The sequence below is a fragment of the Homo sapiens genome, chromosome 5 (assembly GCF_000001405.40).
Source record: "Homo sapiens chromosome 5, GRCh38.p14 Primary Assembly".
NCBI classification, from domain to species: Eukaryota; Metazoa; Chordata; class Mammalia; order Primates; family Hominidae; genus Homo; species Homo sapiens.
The window spans coordinates 88,724,865-88,743,151 of record NC_000005.10 but is presented as its reverse complement, the minus strand read 5'-3'; the positions used below and the strand labels follow the sequence as shown (position 1 = coordinate 88,743,151).

The 18,287-nt window shown below is 35.6% G+C and overlaps 1 protein-coding gene across 79 annotated transcripts in view, besides 4 other annotated features; it reads left to right on the top strand.

Moving 5' to 3' along the window:
* Positions 1-18,287, top strand: part of MEF2C (myocyte enhancer factor 2C) — a 186,989-nt gene that overhangs the window by 160,954 nt on the left and 7,748 nt on the right. For 42 of the 79 annotated variants that reach the window (XM_017009478.3, XM_047417190.1, XM_047417202.1 and 39 more), the window contains 3 exons: positions 11,251-11,423; positions 13,805-13,934; positions 14,524-14,659. In XM_017009478.3, the coding sequence (XP_016864967.1) occupies positions 11,251-11,423; positions 13,805-13,934; positions 14,524-14,659 (439 nt within the window). Of the gene's footprint in view, positions 1-11,250; positions 11,424-12,917; positions 12,942-13,804; positions 13,935-14,523; positions 14,660-18,287 lie in introns of all 79 variants that reach the window. The other 37 variants (XM_011543396.4, XM_047417181.1, XM_047417182.1 and 34 more) reach the window with 1 other exon arrangement.
* Positions 6,577-6,626: an enhancer, noted in NCBI's record as "active region_22762". NCBI's record gives its function as "activates an Ori minimal core promoter by ATAC-STARR-seq in GM12878 lymphoblastoid cells {active_cell/tissue: GM12878}" and the evidence as "EXISTENCE:reporter gene assay evidence [ECO:0000049][PMID:35858748]".
* Positions 7,759-7,858: an enhancer, noted in NCBI's record as "active region_22761". NCBI's record gives its function as "activates an Ori minimal core promoter by ATAC-STARR-seq in GM12878 lymphoblastoid cells {active_cell/tissue: GM12878}" and the evidence as "EXISTENCE:reporter gene assay evidence [ECO:0000049][PMID:35858748]".
* Positions 10,550-10,829: an enhancer, noted in NCBI's record as "active region_22760". NCBI's record gives its function as "activates an Ori minimal core promoter by ATAC-STARR-seq in GM12878 lymphoblastoid cells {active_cell/tissue: GM12878}" and the evidence as "EXISTENCE:reporter gene assay evidence [ECO:0000049][PMID:35858748]".
* Positions 10,950-10,999: an enhancer, noted in NCBI's record as "active region_22759". NCBI's record gives its function as "activates an Ori minimal core promoter by ATAC-STARR-seq in GM12878 lymphoblastoid cells {active_cell/tissue: GM12878}" and the evidence as "EXISTENCE:reporter gene assay evidence [ECO:0000049][PMID:35858748]".

The following is an 18,287-nucleotide window of genomic DNA, read 5'->3' as shown; positions in this document are numbered from 1 at the left end:
ATATTATTTTTAAAATATTATTAAGCAGCAAATGAAAAAAATCTAGGTTAATAGTTGGGTTCTGTTTTGAAAGTATTGTTCCATTAGTTTGAATTGTTCTGAATTAAAAATTCTGAATTCATTGGCAGTTTTACCTTGGGAGTTCACCCAAAACATAAGTAAATAACTAACGGCATTGCTTTATTATTATTATTTATGAAATTAAGTAACAATGATATTTTTAACCCAAACCAAGTTTATCAAGATTAAAGAAAAAAAAAAACCTAGTCCTCAAATTAGATAGCTACAGCATGTGGTATGCAGCTACTGCCAAGAAAATCAGTGTTCACTTTCCATATACAAAACCAAGCAAATTATAGATAAACCATTACCTTGATACCATTCTCTAGGGGCTCATGTTGAAGTGGGAAAGGCAGGTCAAAGACAAGACAAATGAAAAATGTTACAGGTTAAGTCAGGATGTTGTAAAATATGCCTTCGACCCCTTTGGTTTGACTTCATTCTTAAGGAGTTTGATTTCCAGAGGAAAAAAAGAAAATTTTAGGTTATAACTTCCTAGAGAGTGTTTTAGCAGATTTTAGAGCCCTTTGTTTATCCTGATTTCTGACTTCACAAATTGTATCCTTTTTATTCTCTATCCTTCTATATCTACAGTAAAGTACTGTGAAGATTGGTTTCTTTACTCATATCCCATTGATTTAACCTAATAGTGTGAAGGATAAGAAAACCTTGGTTGTTTTTAATATTAAATTCAAGCCGTTAATATTTCCCCCTGAAATACTAGTTTTATTCAGAATTTGTCTTTTTTTCTCAAAGCAGTCTTTTCTCTTTATACACCTATTAGGTTCCTCTTCCCTATCTTTGGCATCATGATAAGATTTTATTTGGAGATAACACAGAAAGGAAAGCTTTTTTCATAATCATCAGTGATGTGACATTGTGCATCAGTAGAGAGCAGATGCTGAAGGGGGGATTTGGTTAAAAACCCCCTCTTTTGGAAATCAGTTTTTTACTTACCAGGGACTTTCTCACTCGGTGCTTCAAGGCTGTCAGCCAAGAGTATAATCTGCTGTTTTTAGACAAACCTTTGCCAATCACTTAAATTTTGCAGTTACACTTACATAGTATGTTTCAGTTGAATTTCAATCCAAAGAATATTTAGTCATGATACAGTATCATATTTGAAAGATCATTAGCTATGTTAAACTTAAGTATTATACCAAGAACCTTGGATAAACAGTTTAAATTTATAACCAACTGATACGTCCAAAAGGTGCTAAGTGTTCACTGTGTTTATTTATTATTGCTCCATTTCAATTGTTTTAACTGAACTCAAATTTAAGTTTATCTATTTTACTAGACATTATGCCTTCTTTTTACAATTTCTTGACCTTAGAGTCCACCCACCACCTCCAGTTATTATAAAGAACCGATTATGTTGTATTTAAAGTATAAGGAGGAAAAAGCCCTGCTATACTAATATAGAACATTATAATATAGTAGTAAGAGAAAACTAAATCTATGGCCAGTTTACATATTCAAACATTATAACATTAATTTACATAACAATCAAGAAAACTGAATCTTTAGTTGGCTCTAATATTAAGCAACTCAGTGAAAACCGTAAAACCATGGACCAAAATTTTTGCCCAAGGAGTAGTTTGGGAAAAGATTCCAGAGGCAGATATTCAAAAAAATAAAACAACCAAGGAAAGTATGTGATATACAAATTATTTTAGGGATGGCACTATTGCCCTTGAAAAGTCTGTTAAACTCCTCTTTTTCCGGATTGTTGTAAAAATTAAATGAGATAACTGATGCAAGGGGTCTAGCACAGTTTCTGCCCCAGAGTAAGTGCTTGTTAATAAATGTGAGCTATGGTTATAATCATCTACATTCTTGATTTTCTAGCCTTTCTGGTTATAATGTTTAGCTTAATGCAGTTCCAGTAGTATTTATGAAATGTGTGGTGAAGGGAGCACACCAGTAGGCTTCACAGAGATGTCCAGCACGGGGCTCCTATCCTCAAGGGTGGAAGTAAAGCGGATGTATTAATAAATCTGAAGCAGAATGTGAGAGCAGTACAGTACAGTGCAACACATTTCACTTTGAACGTTATGAACTTCTGATGTGTTCGCAGCAGTTGTGTAAATGTTAAAACCACAAGTAATTATTCTTTCTCTTCTGTCATGCTCTCTCTAATTTATACTGTCTCAATATTTTTGTTTATAAAAATGACTGAAAGAATGAGCGATTGTGTCAATAATGAAGACACCCCCTCATTTTTAGCAAAGAGACAGCCCCAAAATCTCAAGAAGTGAACAATTAAATGAGTCATAAATCTATCATTCATAGTTAAATGGAATTTTTTAAAGATAGTGTGGTTCAATAGCATTTTTATGGTGCAATTAAAAACTATCCCTTCAGTAAATCAGTACCCAAAGGAGAATGATATTTGGGTTTTTTTTTTTTTTGTACTGGAGACATCAGATTGTCAATTTCTTCCTTATTTGCAAATACAAGGATGCATGCTAAATCTCAGACATCTGGCTTTTGTAATGTAGTGGTAGCAACCTGCATTTTGGATTCAAATCAAAGCCTCTTCCTTGCTGACAGGGTGATCTCAGTCAAGTAACGGAAGCTTCTTAAGCCTCAGTTTCCTCATCTGTCAAAAGCTGGGATGGTGATGCCTAAATCCGCATGACAGTTAGGACAAATGAGAAAATGTTCGCCAACACAAACCTACTTGATGGACTCTCAATCTTTGGAAAAACAACTTAGTAATAAGTAAAATTTCTTTACCTCTCCCTCACAATCCAGAGCTTACACAGTATGTGCTGTACGTTAAAAGCTCATTGTCTCATTGACAGACTGTTAATTTCACACACACACACACACACACACACACACACACACACGCAAAATCGCTGAACAAAACACAGCCCAAGAAACGTCAAGGACAAATAGGCTAGATATGAAATTCCTGAAGCTCTGGTCCAGCATCAGGTGACATGGTCAAAGAGAAGAGACAGCTCTCTTTTTAGAACGTCTGATGCCCCTGAACTGGTATGGCCAAGAATAGTTCTTGGCTTTGGTATAGTCTTGGGGTATTTCTCTAAGAATATACCACAAAATGCACTGAGGTTTCAGAGAAGTTTCTTCATAGTTTAACATTATGCATTATTATATAATTTCCCTAAGAAACCCCCAGAAAAAGTGGAGCCTTTATTTTGTGTGTAAGAATCCCTAATTAGGAGTCTTTAGCAAGATAAGAATCAGAAATCTGATTTGCCCCCTTTCTACATTAAGCATATTGAAATTTTCATCATACCCAGATTTCTGACCCCTGAATGTTTTGTGGTTGCCTTTTCTCTTAGAGCTATTCAATGTAAAATATCTTTTTTTCTCAAAAAAATAAAAATAAAAACAAAACTGATTTTGATACACAACAGCTGAATAACTCACAGTTCCTAGCATATGTAACAAGGTTTCAGGCATTCAGGCTAGGACTGCAGTCTAGAAGATCATATTTTTCCACTAATTTTTTTTTCAACTGTCACTTCCAGTAGAGTAGGGGATTGTATGAGCAAGTTTATGATACACAATTTAAAGTAATTTTCTATAAAAAGATGTATGTTCATTTGAGGCACAAAACAATATCCTGATATTGGAAACTAACTTTTAATCTTAAAACTTTAAAAACTAAAATATAAAATTAATTGATGATAGTGAGCATTATTATGTATGTGACATTTCCTGTCTAACAACCCAGTATGCTGTAACTGTTTTCAAAATTGCTTTATTTTTTTTTTAAAGTGAGTAAAACATTTTGTTGAAGTAAAAGCAGCAAATTGATACTTCAGAGGTCCAGCTGTGTGTTCAGCTTAATGTTTTCCTGTGTCAATTTGCTTCAAATCCCTCAAAATCAGATACTATTAACAAATTACTAAACAAAATTATTTTTATACATTTATATATTAGAAGTTATTTCCCGGGTAACAACTAATCGCAGATACTAAAAAATACTGGACATTTCACTGTAACATTGGGTGTTTCTGATAGAAGCTGGTCTCTTAAATTGACAGTAAGTAAGTAAGCATCATTACCATTTAAGTATATTACAGGGGAGAAGATTATTGACTAAAATATTACAAAATCTACTTTTAAAAGCATATTTAATCATCCACTCAAAATAGCACACTAAAAGTTAAACAGCTACTCTGGTGTTCAGTGTAGCTAAACTCAGTATTTCCTACTTGTAAATATTTATTTATCCAGAAAGAGACCAGAAATATGGTTTGAACATCACCATTCTGTGCCTCTTTATGAGAATTCAGTGTCTTCTGAACCAGAACTACTATTTACTATGCCCAAGTTGACCTTACAACATGTCCCTCAAACTTGCACATCACCTCTGGCTTAGGACAACCTTGACTGTCCTGTCCCTAGTTGTGTCCTCTCTTCATTTGTATCCCCATAATTTGCAAATGAGACTCGACATAGAAAGGCTTTCACTATCTCAGAGCATGACTGGTTCTGAAGGAGCAGTGTAGTGTTGTACTTCAGGGCATGGACTCTGGACATACTGCTTGGGTTCAAATCATAGCTTCACCAGTTGATAGCTGTTTGACATTGAGCAAATTCCTGGACCTCTCTTTTCTTCGGTTTTCTCATTTCTCATTTTTCATAGGGATACTATTAGTATCCCACAGGGTTGTTCTTGTGAAGATTAAAAGTGCTTTATATCCATGTACAATATCTAGCACTTACATAGCAGTTACAAGTGCCTGGTACTCTTCTGAGCAGTTAATGTGTATGCTTAATGTTGTGTTGTTGGTAAATAATACTATACACTGTGTTAGCGATTGCTAATATTGTTGGATGGTAAGATTGTCAATGACTGCCTCAGATGAGTACCTGAGAGCCTCTCATTCAGATTACTTTCATGCTTCTCTCACACTAGGGAAATACTTCTATTGAGAAAACTAAGGCTCTGTAGGGTTGAGAGAACTCTTAACAGAAACATTTTGAGTAGAACCTAGATTACTCTGCCTTATCTTTTTTTTGTCCCCAACTCCTGGATGCCTGTAAACCTTTCTCTCTGCGCTGCCTCATTCAGACATCATTTCTCATGTATTCTAGAGCAAGGCGTTCTAACTAGCTTCTCTAACAGCAGTCCAACCCCCTTTTGTCTCTCCTTTCCACTGCCATCATTGTTCCTTTCCTAACACAAATTTAATAAAGCTAACAACTAAGAAGCTATCTTAGGCACTCATTTTCTAGAGTATAAAATTTGGTAAAAGCTTAGTATAAAGCCTACAGTGTAAAGTTAACATAATCTTAGAGGTTCATGTTAGCCAAGCCTTCTTTTTCAACTTCGGAAAACTTTCTGCTCTTCAAGATCCATTGTTTCATCTTCAGAGGAATGCCCCTCCTTCTAAACTCTGAGATCTCTCTGTCCTGCATTCCTTCTCTCCGCAAAGCCTCTCTCTGAACCATCTGATAAATTCCTGTTCACTCTTAATAGCCACCCTGCCACCATTCTTTTCCCTAGGATACCATGCAGCTTATCTTTTGGTGAAAAGTTCTGTATGAGTAAATTAGTATTGAGATTTACCTTGATATAACGACAACCTGTGGCAACAAATACTCGTCAGTGTGGAAGAAAATATCAGAGACTTCAACTTTTCATTTTCATTAGGGAAAATGTCTGACTTGTTTAATTCTACCACTTGCAGTTAGCTAAGGTAATGTGCTGTGAAATGATTAACAGGTGCAACAGGTAGAAAAGACGCTTTAATTAACTCTCTATAAACAAATTTAGTAGGTGGGCACTTACATGATTTCCTGGCTTTCATATATATGGTAGATAAGCAGTTTGTCTCAATAGTGTACTTGGTCATCAATTTGCAATCATTATCTAAAATATAAAATTTTCTCAAGTAGCATAAAGAGAAGAGACCCTTGATGTTTCAATTTAACAAGTTACTCATTACATTTTCAGTTCTCACCTCATTGTCCCTCAATAACTTACCTTTTAGTGCCTTTCCTGAATAATTCTTAATTTTTCTAGCATATTCTATATATCTATTTGTGAAGCACCTGAAACATATAAAGAACTAGTACTCTGTGTATTATCGCTGCCACTAATTGCAGCAGAGGGGAGTGAATTCAGTGTGGGCTGAAGTTGTCTGAAAGGCATCATGAAAGAGTTGGAACTTTAGTTGATCCTTAAAAGATAAATTTGAATTAAACAGGAGAGCCAATACTGCCAGTTATTGAACTGCTAGAGCAAAGATTTGCATATATTCCGAGGACCATAAGGCAGGCTGTGACCATTGGAAATTAGGTTTCATAGATAGAGTGTGTCAACTGTAGACAGTTCTGAGAGCCAGGCAGGGCACTGACTCAACTGTGTTAAGCACTCATGTATGAAAAAGGAACATGATGGAAGTAGCAGTTCAGAAAGACTTCCTTGAGTGGGTTGGTTAGCATCACACAAATGCACAAAAGTTTGCATACAGCTTTAAGGAACTCCTCTGAAGGCCTGAAACTCCTCTTAAGGCCTGGTGAAGAACCCCTCAAGTAGAGACCAGAGGCCCAGATGGAGAGTTGCTGAAATATTTTTTTTTTTTTTTTTTTTTTTTTTTTGAGACGGAGTCTCGCTCTGTCGCCCAGGTCGGACTGCGGACTGCAGTGGCGCAATCTCGGCTCACTGCAAGCTCCGCTTCCCGGGTTCACGCCATTCTCCTGCCTCAGCCTCCCGAGTAGCTGGGACTACAGGCGCCCGCCACCGCGCCCGGCTAATTTTTTGTATTTTTAGTAGAGACGGGGTTTCACCTTGTTAGCCAGGATGGTCTCGATCTCCTGACCTCATGATCCACCCGCCTCGGCCTCCCAAAGTGCTGGGATTACAGGCGTGAGCCACCGCGCCCGGCCGAGTTGCTGAAATATTTATTCAAATGGTGATGGAAGCCAAAGCTAAGATGGTGGCAGTGGAAGTAGAGACAGGCATTTCTGAAGAAAAATGAATAAGATTTGGTATCTCATTGGATATGGAGATGGAAGGAGGAGAGGGGATAATAGAAGATGACAGTTTGGTAGATTAAAAAATGGTTATGCCAATGGCAGAATTAGCCATGGTCCATAGTGACTAATTCTGTTTATGCTTATTAGTCTTATATGCTTGTATTCATAATTCAAAGTCCTAGAAAAGAAAAAGAAACAAGTGAAGAAAACTCAAAATGCCTAAACATCCAAATAAAAGAAAGTTTCAGAACTTTGAGCTCAAAGAGAGCTACATGTTCAAGTGAGCTCTGTGAGACAAGGCAAAATGCCTTCCTCATAATATCTTAAGCCAGGAATATGTTCTTTGAATTTACGACTTCTTAAAATAGGAGTCAATAAAAAAAATGCAGCAAGTGTTTGCAAGTTAACTGGGGAGAAAAATGTTTTTCTCCTAACACCACATTCAAGTTCTATGTATTGACACTAATATGAGTATATACAAACTTGTAACCAGAAGAGGTAGATTCTCTAATCCTTTATGTAAGTTAACTCATATATGCTTAAATTTGTTATTTTTATGTAAAACAATATTTTTAATCAAATGAAACTATAAAACAAACTGACTCTAAAGTTGGTCTGTACTTCATTTTCTTATAATCTATAATCAGGAAATCCATTCACTCCTGCTTTATAATTTTTGTGCCTTTAAGTGGTCAGAGGAATGTGACATCTGCATACAGTCACGTCTAAATTGATAATTGTCCAGGCAGAGGGTAATTTTAAAACATAGCATGAAAAAAGGTTGAATCCATATATTAGAAGGTTGTTGAGAGGTGGTGTTTCCCACCTCCCGGACCCCTGAATTTAAATGCGACCATTCTCTTTGGTGAATTTATCTTAAGGTGGGACAACAGGCTCAACACAGGCCGCAGCATTCTGAGTGAGGAGGAGGCTGCGGTTTCCCAGCCGGTTTAAATGCAGGCTCTTCTTAGCAGTAAACCACACGCATGTATTCATCATTGATTTTCAAATCATAGGTTTCTATATCACTGGTTTAGGATCCACAGTCTTGCATTCCTGAATCTATATTATGTCCAAAGAATAACAATTTGGTGGCTGGAAACAGAAATGGTTATTATACGGCTCCAAAATGCTAGCTGGCACAATATGCTAAAAACAGCAGAAATTCACTAGCAAAAAGCAGAATTTATTTGTTCTTAAAAATAACTTGATGCTCTAAAAATATGAATTTAAGAAGTGTCATCATGGTTCAAAATATTTTACATTTCAGTATGTAAACACCTTAAAATATGTGACTAATCTTCTAAAATGGCGTAATTTCCAAATAACAGGAAATATTCCAAGAGAAAAATAGAAGGCTTTTAAAATCAATTTTTTTAGTTTTGAGGTATTTACTGAATGAAAAGCTACAATGTATATTTACTTTTTTTTCCCCTACTGCTGCCCTGAATCACTGTTTAAAATGTGGGCAAAAAGACATAGGCTTTGTTGGAATTTCTCAGAGAGTTTACTGTAGAAAATGCTAAAAAAAAAAAAAAAAAAAAAAAAAAAAAAAAACAAACTTTTCTCAAGGCCTCCGTGAAGCATTTCCATTTTCGCACACTGGCCCAGTGCTTGTCATATCACAGGACAACACATTTCACGAAGCGGTTTTACTTCCTTTTAGCAAAATAACTCCTCCATGCAAACCAGTATCGGCATCTACCGAGCTGGGGTTTTAGTTTCTTCTGATCTATTCAAGCTTCATTGCACTGCTTAACAGACTTTTTTCTCCCCCTTCTTTTGAAATTACCCAGCTAATTTTCCATTTGATTGTTTATATAAACCAGATCTCACACAGGCTTAATAGATAAGTGACATATGTCTTCAGTGTGTCCATCTGACCTTCAGCTGACAGCAAAGTATAGAGCAGAATTGACCTTGATGTTCTTATTCTCTTTTTATCCCGTAGAATCTATTAATTCAAACTAAGTTCATAACATATTCACAATAATGATTCAGGATGACATATTAAATATAAAACTCCTCTAAGCACTCCATTTTGTCAAGCTTTTTTTTTTTAAGTGAACATACTCTCTTTTGTTTGTTTTTTTCTTCTAGTGAGAGGAAGTAAATGCATTGTTTTATGTAACAGCTTTTGCCATGGAATACTGTTCGAATTTACTGTAAAGAAAATTTGGGGGTTTGTCATATTTATCTAGCTTTAGAGAATTTGGCTAATATTCCAGAAGTTTTCTTATAGAAGGGAATTGATATTCAGATTCAACCAACATTTCTTAAGTGAGTCCTGTCACTTAACACACGTTTTGGGGGTGTCCAGTTTGCTTTATTTTTGTTTTTTTGCCCCAGGAACTGGGATAATTTTATTCATAATCCAATTGACAGACTTAATCTTGTAGTTATTTGTTATATATTCAGCCTGTTTATTCATGCATAAAATGAGACAGGTAAATGAATGGGATATGAAGAACAAATCTGCTTTATACAGTGTGCCTCAAATATATTTTGCTTCTAAAGATGTTCCCATAAATATCTCCTGAAATATACCTTTGCTCTGCCTTCCCAGTTCCTCATGGCCTCTATCTCAGGCCATCAAAGTAGTCTCCAGACTGGTCCACACTAGCAGGCCTTACTAATTCCTGAGTATACCAATGCCAGTAGATCTTTCTGACCACTTAGAGGTCTGTGTCATACCTCTACTCTGAAACTTTCATTTCCACCATATAAACCCAAGGACTTTTAGCCTGGAATTTGAGATCTCCACAGCCCAACCCCTGCATCCCTCCAGAGCCTCTGACACCCCTCTCTTTTCACGGGTCCCCTTCTAAACAGGTTCCTCTCAGTGCCCCTTACCATGCTCTTTAAACTCCTACCTCAGCCCTTTCCTACTGCCCAGTCACAAGCCTAACATATCTTCCTATGGCCTTTCTTTAAGGCCCTCATCAATTCCTGCCTCTTCTGTGAATCTTTTATTGGATCACCTCTTCTCTCCCGGGAACTCAATAACACTTAATCTGGATTACTCTGCAGGCACCTCACCCTACGCTGCCTTGTATTGGTCTTTATGTTTTCCATGAGTATGTATTGGATTACCACAAAGAGATTTCAGAGCTTTTCAAGCCTGGGGCCTTGTCTTTGCATCCTCACTGGGTAGCACACAATCTCACTCATGCAGGGGTAATAGATACTTGTGTTTTGTAATGATGGCAATAACAATGAGGTTTAACTGTCTCCTTTAGAAAGCTTCAGAAAACAACTGTCTAGTTTCTAGCAAGGATTGTTGAATCAGGTAGCTGAGTTCTCTTATTCTCCCTTCAGAGGCAGTGGAGGAAATCAGCAGATGTCTTTCTGAGTCCACTGTCATGCCAGCTCTGCTGGCATTTGTAATCAACTCCTCCCTAGCTCTCTTGGTCATATTTTGAAATATGAAAAACGCAGACCTTGGGATACCCACTTTTCTGTTAGTAGGATACTGAACATCAGAGACCTAAGAAAACCCTTTCAGTCTTCCAGTTCAATGGCTATTCCTGTGCCTTGGTGAATCAGCACTTTAGCGGAGGCATCATCACTTCATTTCAGCTCCAGGGAAGGAGTCTTGCTTTCTGAAGTTCTGTGTGAGGAGGAAAGCAAGGGTTGTACACTGAACTTAGTAAGGAGGGCAAAGCAGATGGAAGAAAAACCATAGAGAGAATTCACTCAGAGAAAAGCGGAACTGAACAGCAAAATGTGTAAGCGGCTTCCCCTCCTCCTGCCTGTCCTAGAAATTACAGTCTTGCTGGTATGCCCTTTCTTCATTTAAGGACACACAGACACACAAAATAAAACCCAAACCAGTGAACTGAAAGAGTGAGTCACGCCAGCCAGGCCTCCGCCAAGCTAGTCAATTAAAGTGCAAGACCAGTTCTGTGCTTTTCTTAGACCCTGAACTACTGTCTGACTTTCTTCCTGAATATTTTTGATAGGAAAAAAAGTATATGCTGACTTCTGAGCAAGTTGATGTATATTGGCTCTCTTCTCATAAAAAGTTTTTAATCTTCCTTCAGAGGACTATTGAATACTTAATTGGGTTACTTGTCCCATGGAGGTCAAATCAGTCATCCTATGGTTTTGCAATGTACGTCTTACCATTAAGCTTTTGTTTTTATTCTCATGTTGTGTATTCTTCGGAAACGTATTTGACCTAGATTTCTTCCTAAATGCTTTATTGTTTTTTGTTAACAGGGAACGGGTATGGCAATCCCCGAAACTCACCAGGTCTGCTGGTCTCACCTGGTAACTTGAACAAGAATATGCAAGCAAAATCTCCTCCCCCAATGAATTTAGGAATGAATAACCGTAAACCAGATCTCCGAGTTCTTATTCCACCAGGCAGCAAGAATACGATGCCATCAGTGGTAATACAAAACTACATTTTAAATAAATATTGATAATGTTTTGTATATGTTTTGCTGTTTTTATATTTGTCTAACTTGATGAATTACTTAACATTCTCCCAGAAAATTAACATAACAGTGCCATTGACAGAGCCTTGCTTGTATTTAGCTATTATTTCTGGTAACTGGTTTGCATTTCCCTTTTCCGTGTAAAAAAAATATATATATATATCTGGTGAACTTCACTAGGCTGATGTTCTAGGATAAGAAAAACATTTTCTTTTAAGGCTTTCAATTTATAGTTGGAAAAAAATCAGACACTACCATCGGTCAATCTCTACGTCCCATAAGCAGAGTAATAATAGGTAATGAGGTACTTTATAACATAGTATTTTTACAATATTTATGTCCTCAACACGCTGACAATGAGAAAGTACTTTCCACAATTTCTAAATGAACTTTCTCCTGTTAATTAGCAAATCCTTTCTTAGATGTATTGCAATGATTATATCTAATACATCGCATGCCTACACACTGCCTCAATTCATCTTTCCATACATTTACTTCATGAAAATAGCTATCTCTCAAAAGCAAATTAAAATCCTAGGCATTTTAGGAACAAAGGTTATATTTTACATCAAAAAAGAATTGTAGCACCTCTAAGGAAGATAAATAAATAAGAAATTTTAAATAGAGGTTATATCCCCAGACCCTGTCATTTTTCTTTCTTCTGGGTCTGCATGCCTAAGATGAAGATAATGTTATGGGACCAAATTCAACAACAAAGAGACTTACATCAGTGTTCTACAAATTAGCTTTGCTTAAGAGCAAGAACGTTTAAAACCAAGATTCGGTAGACAAATTTAGATCATTCTGCAAACACATTTATTTCTTTTTTCTTTCTCTGCTCTGTGGCAAGCTTCAGGGTAAAACAGTCCTGTGAGCTGATTAGTTTATTATGGCACAGTGCAGATTAATTTTGAATATCAACCAAAAACATCACATAATATGCAACATTCCCTTCAGAAAAAAACTGGGTCTAATAAATATAACCTCCTACAGGGCTACAGCCAAGCAGTGTGGGCCGTGCATGGCAGGCCATCTCTATCAACAGATTTATTCCAGGTCCCTTAAAACTGATGCTGTCCCAGGGAATCTGTGATGGGTCAGTTAGGTCCCTCTCTGGCAGCCAGGTGTGTAGCTCCCCTTCCTCCAGCAAGTGAGGTTTCAAAGCACAGTCTTTTTTTTTCCTTCAAAATGAAGTGATGAAATAATGAACATTGAGACACTGACCTGGGCTGAAAACCGGGTAGATTGTCTTCACATTTGAGACAAACAGCTCATTAAGGGAAACAAAGAATGTCTTTGTAAGGAGTTATCTTTGGAGTCTGGGTTTTAAAACTGTTTAAACTGTTGTGTCTATCGGAAGATGCTTTTCCTTTTGTTGAAAAGATTTTGCCCAATTATAAATATTTACGGACACTAATTAATAAAACTCCTTCCGCATGCTCTCAGTCTGAGGATGTCGACCTGCTTTTGGTAAGTGGTGAGAGCGCTTCCCTCAAATGGCATGTGCAAAGCTACTTTTAGGTAGAGGTGGTAGCTTTGATAAAATTGGAAGATATTGGAAGTTACCACAGTATGTCAACATTGATTATGTTTAAATACCATTAATTTCTGGCATCACTCACAGGTGAAAAGAATGTCAGGTTTTTTTTTTTGTTTCAATATTTTTTCTGTTTTCAATATTTTAGGACAATTTATAGTAAAATTCAAACAAAAATATTCTTTCATTACATAAAACTAAAATATTTCTTCTTCTGGGAATTAAAGTCTCATGATTTTAAGTTTATGTGGTGGATCTTTTATCTCTTTACTGTAATGAGTTAAATATTCGCATTAGCTGCTTTGCCATCTAGTTTGAGGGAAGTTTAGAAGAATCTGAACAAAGTGGTCACAGCACCACCTGCTGGTCAAAATATAACATGAGCCCCTACTCATTTGCTCTCTGCTGTATGTAGAACTGAACATAAAAACTACCATGGTTGATTTTAATTTTTTTTTAATTTGCATTTGAATGAAAACTGAAACAATGGAAGTACAGTATACATATTTCATCAGTTTTCAACATAGTCTGTTTTTACCCATAATAAAGCTATGGTACTTGTTACTAGTTCAGTTGCCTAGGAGATACTGATGTAATGGGTTACTATGGCAACAGCTGGTCTCTTGAAGGATTGTAAATGATAGGGTTGGCAGAGTTCATAGAGACACATGTTAAATGATTAATTTCATGAGATTTGTACCAAGTTATCTCTTTATGTGGAAAACTAATACTGAAATCTAATATTTTTAACTTTTAAAAAAATTCATCAGTAATGTCTTTTTATTTATTTTAAAAGAATCAAAGGATAAATAACTCCCAGTCGGCTCAGTCATTGGCTACCCCAGTGGTTTCCGTAGCAACTCCTACTTTACCAGGACAAGGAATGGGAGGATATCCATCAGCCATTTCAACAACATATGGTACCGGTGAGTAGCTTTGTCATGTGCAATTAGTACACTAAATACTTTTTATTGAAAATCAAGATGAAAAAGTTATCTTTTACTCTATTAGGAAGCTTTATTTAGGGCCTGCGCCGTCCACAGCACTGCAGCATTACCCATTCTTCACTAAGACAAAGTGAATATCCACATTTTTCTTTCTTAACTGACTGAAAGTTTTATTTATGCAACCTGAGTTCAAAATAGAAACACACTTTCAAGAAAATTGAGCTGTTTCTTTGATGTAATAAAAAGCTCACTTTCTCAGGATTGTTTAACATTTCTACATCATCAAATATGTACATACCTTTATACTAGATTGTAGTTCTAATAAACTAGAATTGCGGACTATGCTACTTCAGAGCATTCGTGGAATACTTATTTTTGGTTTATAGTATATTCCTTTTAAATTAGAATTATCGCTGATGCTTTATCTCCCCTCCCCTCAAAATTAAAAATATCTATAATAACGATAATCCTAATAGAATATTTTGGAAATTGAAAATGTTTATTCTATTTACCATTTGATAATTTCTAAATTTAATATTTTCCCTTGTTGTTTTATTCTTTAATCTAGAGTACTCTCTGAGTAGTGCAGACCTGTCATCTCTGTCTGGGTTTAACACCGCCAGCGCTCTTCACCTTGGTTCAGTAACTGGCTGGCAACAGCAACACCTACATAACATGCCACCATCTGCCCTCAGTCAGTTGGGGTAAGCAATATTATTTTTTATAATATAATTTTAGAATGTATTTTGAAAAACAAATGACAGTCTCTAAATATGTGCTTCAATATCCCATTAACGGGTATAAAACTCTACTTTATTGAAATCCAAGTGTAATTTTCAGATCAATACTTTTCAAGTAGCTTAAATCTTATATACCTGTTTTTTAAGAGGACAGCGAGCTCTGTAATAATGAGGTAAATTCTTTCCTTATTGTTTTAGGCTACATTTGTTTCCACTTCTATCAGTGATATAATTTTTATTTAGTTTTCACACAGTTCATTTGGGACATAAGAAGGCATTTATAGTATAAGCTTAGATATTTGAGAATTTTTCTTTTTTCACATAAACCATATGGTTTATGCTAATGTTAACCTAATACACATAGGAACAACTAGTCAATTGATACACAGGCTTCATGTATTTATAATGTACTCATAGTATAGTTGTATACTTATAGATATTTTAAGAAATATATGTATATAATACTAACTAGTACATATAATACTAATTACCTAAATTTGGATATAAAAATAATTTTTGTTTTATGTAGTCAGAGGATGTATCTTTCTGCCCCCTTGTGGTAGTTTTCAGATATGTCTTTATCATAGAAATGACTCTTGTCATTTATCTATGGAAACGTTCAAACCTTTAAAAAGCTCTGAATTCACAATTCACACTATTTCATATAAAACAAATCATTTTTTTAAAAAAGCTTAAAACGTTAACTGAAAGCCTGACTGTAAATTTAATAAGTCCAAAATTGCAATTAATCTTCAAAAGAAAATACCAGGAGGATATAAAATATTTAAAGATAACAAGCTTTTATATTTTAAAAATATTCTGTCTGCCTAGCCCACTTTTACTTTTCTGCTTAGCCATTTGTTATCGTTAATCACTTAGCTGTATTAGTTAACTAGTTATATATCCATATGTCTAAGGAGACAGTGAGAATAAAACACTGATTAGTATAAAAGTCACTGATTTATACCACAACTTTGTGTCTCTTATGTTTGCTGGTGCCCTCTCTCCCCCCACCCACTAGCTTTCACATGATAGTGATTTAGCATATATTAGTGATCTGATTATGAAATATTCACCCGTACACTGTTTGCTTATGTTCATCCTACCCGCTAATCACTGTCATTGAAAATCTAACCTTTCATTTAAATAGTAAGATAAATTCACGTGATACTGTTGGTCAGCTTTCTTGAAAGATAGTTAACTTTGAAGATACATTACATATTGATCAGCGCAGAGTTTTATCTTTTTAGGACACTTAAATTTTCTCTGGAATGTTAACTATTCAAGTAGACATTAACTGTGGGAACTTCTTCAGGTAATTATCACCAAGCACATAATTCCATCCAGGCAACTAAAAAATATGTACATGTATACATATTTTGTACAAAGTATCAACTGCTATGGCTTAGCAGGGAATCCACTGAACATGATTCTTGTCAAAAATAAACATAACTGCTTATTTCCCATTTTTTTCACAAAATTCATCCATTATAGGGCTAGATTTCCCTAAAAGTTATCAATGTCAAAAGCCATATTATTTTCTCTGAATGTGGCTTTTTTTTGTTTTCAATAGTACCTGATAATTTATATTTTTACATATAAACACATATTTATTTACATATTTTAGCTGTACTACAATTTTAAAACTCTTTTCTATTACAAGGAAGAATCTAATTCTCTGCTGCCTCTAATAGAGGTTTCAGAAAATGAGAAAGGAGGGACAGCCTTAGACAGAAAGGAACTGAATTACAACAGCCAAAGGTTAAGCATTTTGTTCAGCTCCCGGTTCCTTTCAACACTTAATTTCGTTGTGCTTAATTTGACTCTTAGTTTTCTCTGTGAGTTTTAATTGCACTTAATCACTTCCCTTACCCCTCAAATCAATGGAATGACCCTTCCAGTCCTTCCACTGTTGGCCCTTCTCTCTCTCTGCTTCACACACACTCTTTTCTCCCTCTCACAATCACACACAGAGTAGCTTTTTGAAAGGAGGTTCCTTCACATGGACTACCTCATATTCACACGATTAAATGTTAAACTGTTTTTTTAAAAAATCCCAAGCTGCAATACTTATGTAAAGTAATTCACATGAGCATCCTTAATTCTTTACAGTGTAAATCAATTTAAAAAGAATTGATACATTTTCCAGGCCAAAGTTGTCGCAGAGATTTGTGTTGCGGGCTCACATTCTTTTGGCTAGAGACAATGTTCATAGCAGAGTGGAATATATTTCAGCTCCACCAAAGTAGATATTCCCAGCAGCCCAAGATGGTTACCACAATTCTTTCTCAAAATTGCAAAACCATAAACAGAGTTCTTCATATTTTGTCCATGGAAAAAAAGTTCATTTTGTCCTTTGGAGCTTTAAGTCTTCAAAGCTATACTTTTAAAACCTAGTATCTGATTTTATCTAACCAAGCTAAGTAAGCAACACAAATTTATTTGCTATAGGGAGAGAGATGGCTGACAGAGGAACTTGCCATCAAGAGTTAATGAAAGTCCTTTGAATACTAATATTTGATTTAGTGTAACACTAAGTTTTAGTGTTTTTCTAAACCACCACCTATAAAAAGGGCAGCCTGTTTTCTGGAAGCATTTCCATACGTCAACTTTGTTGATGTGGGTGTTCAGTACATACTGAGAGAGATAACTCTGAGTAGAGATGACTTATAAAAGGTTAGGTTAAATATAGTTTGATAGTCTAATTTCCAGGCGGAGGCAGTAAAAATTTTGAATAAAACTATCCAGTCATGTTTGATTTCTGAACAATTATGGGAAAGGGTAGGAGTTTTCCCAATTCAAAAGCATCTGTAATAGATGAAAATTTGCATAGAGGACTTGATATGGGTAACTTGCATATCTGGCTTCTATCTCCCCACCCACCTCTTTATCACCCACCCACACATATGCAGTATTTCACAATTATCAGGGTCTATAATTATTCGTGTCTATATTTTGTTCTCAAGTAGACCAACATGCTTATATCTGAACCTAGCATATATGCAGTTAAGTTATTTTAATGCTACTTTTTTCTTTTCAAGAAAATACTTCTTTGTTAACAGAGACTAGCCATTCTATTTTATATCCTATGTCACAGTATAATGAAGCTGAATCTAAGATATCACTTGCATTTTACTACTGTGGATTTAGTCCCCAGAACTACTCAAAATGCTTCATGTATGTTTTCAGTGTCAAATGAAATTCCACCAAAAGATAAATTTAAGCTAGTCTGTTTGTAGGAAGGGATAACCAATAATTGTTACATCTTTCATGGGGAAGATACACAGCTAAACCTATACAGGCCAGTTAACATAGGAAGATGATGCAAAGAGGTGAATAATGCAGCTTCCAAAAACTGTATTAAAGAAACAGAATTTTGGTTATATTATTTTTCCCTTACCTTGTCTAGATTAACTGCTTAGACTGTCCAACTCACCAATTTTTTCTTCTAATTTTCTATGTCACCCTCCCTGTGAAGACATAATCTGTATGTCAAAGAGCAAGCAAAAGTATTTATTGACATATCACTTTTTATTTTCAGACTCCTAATTCATATTCATTATTAAATAGTTGTGTGATTCATAGCAGAAGC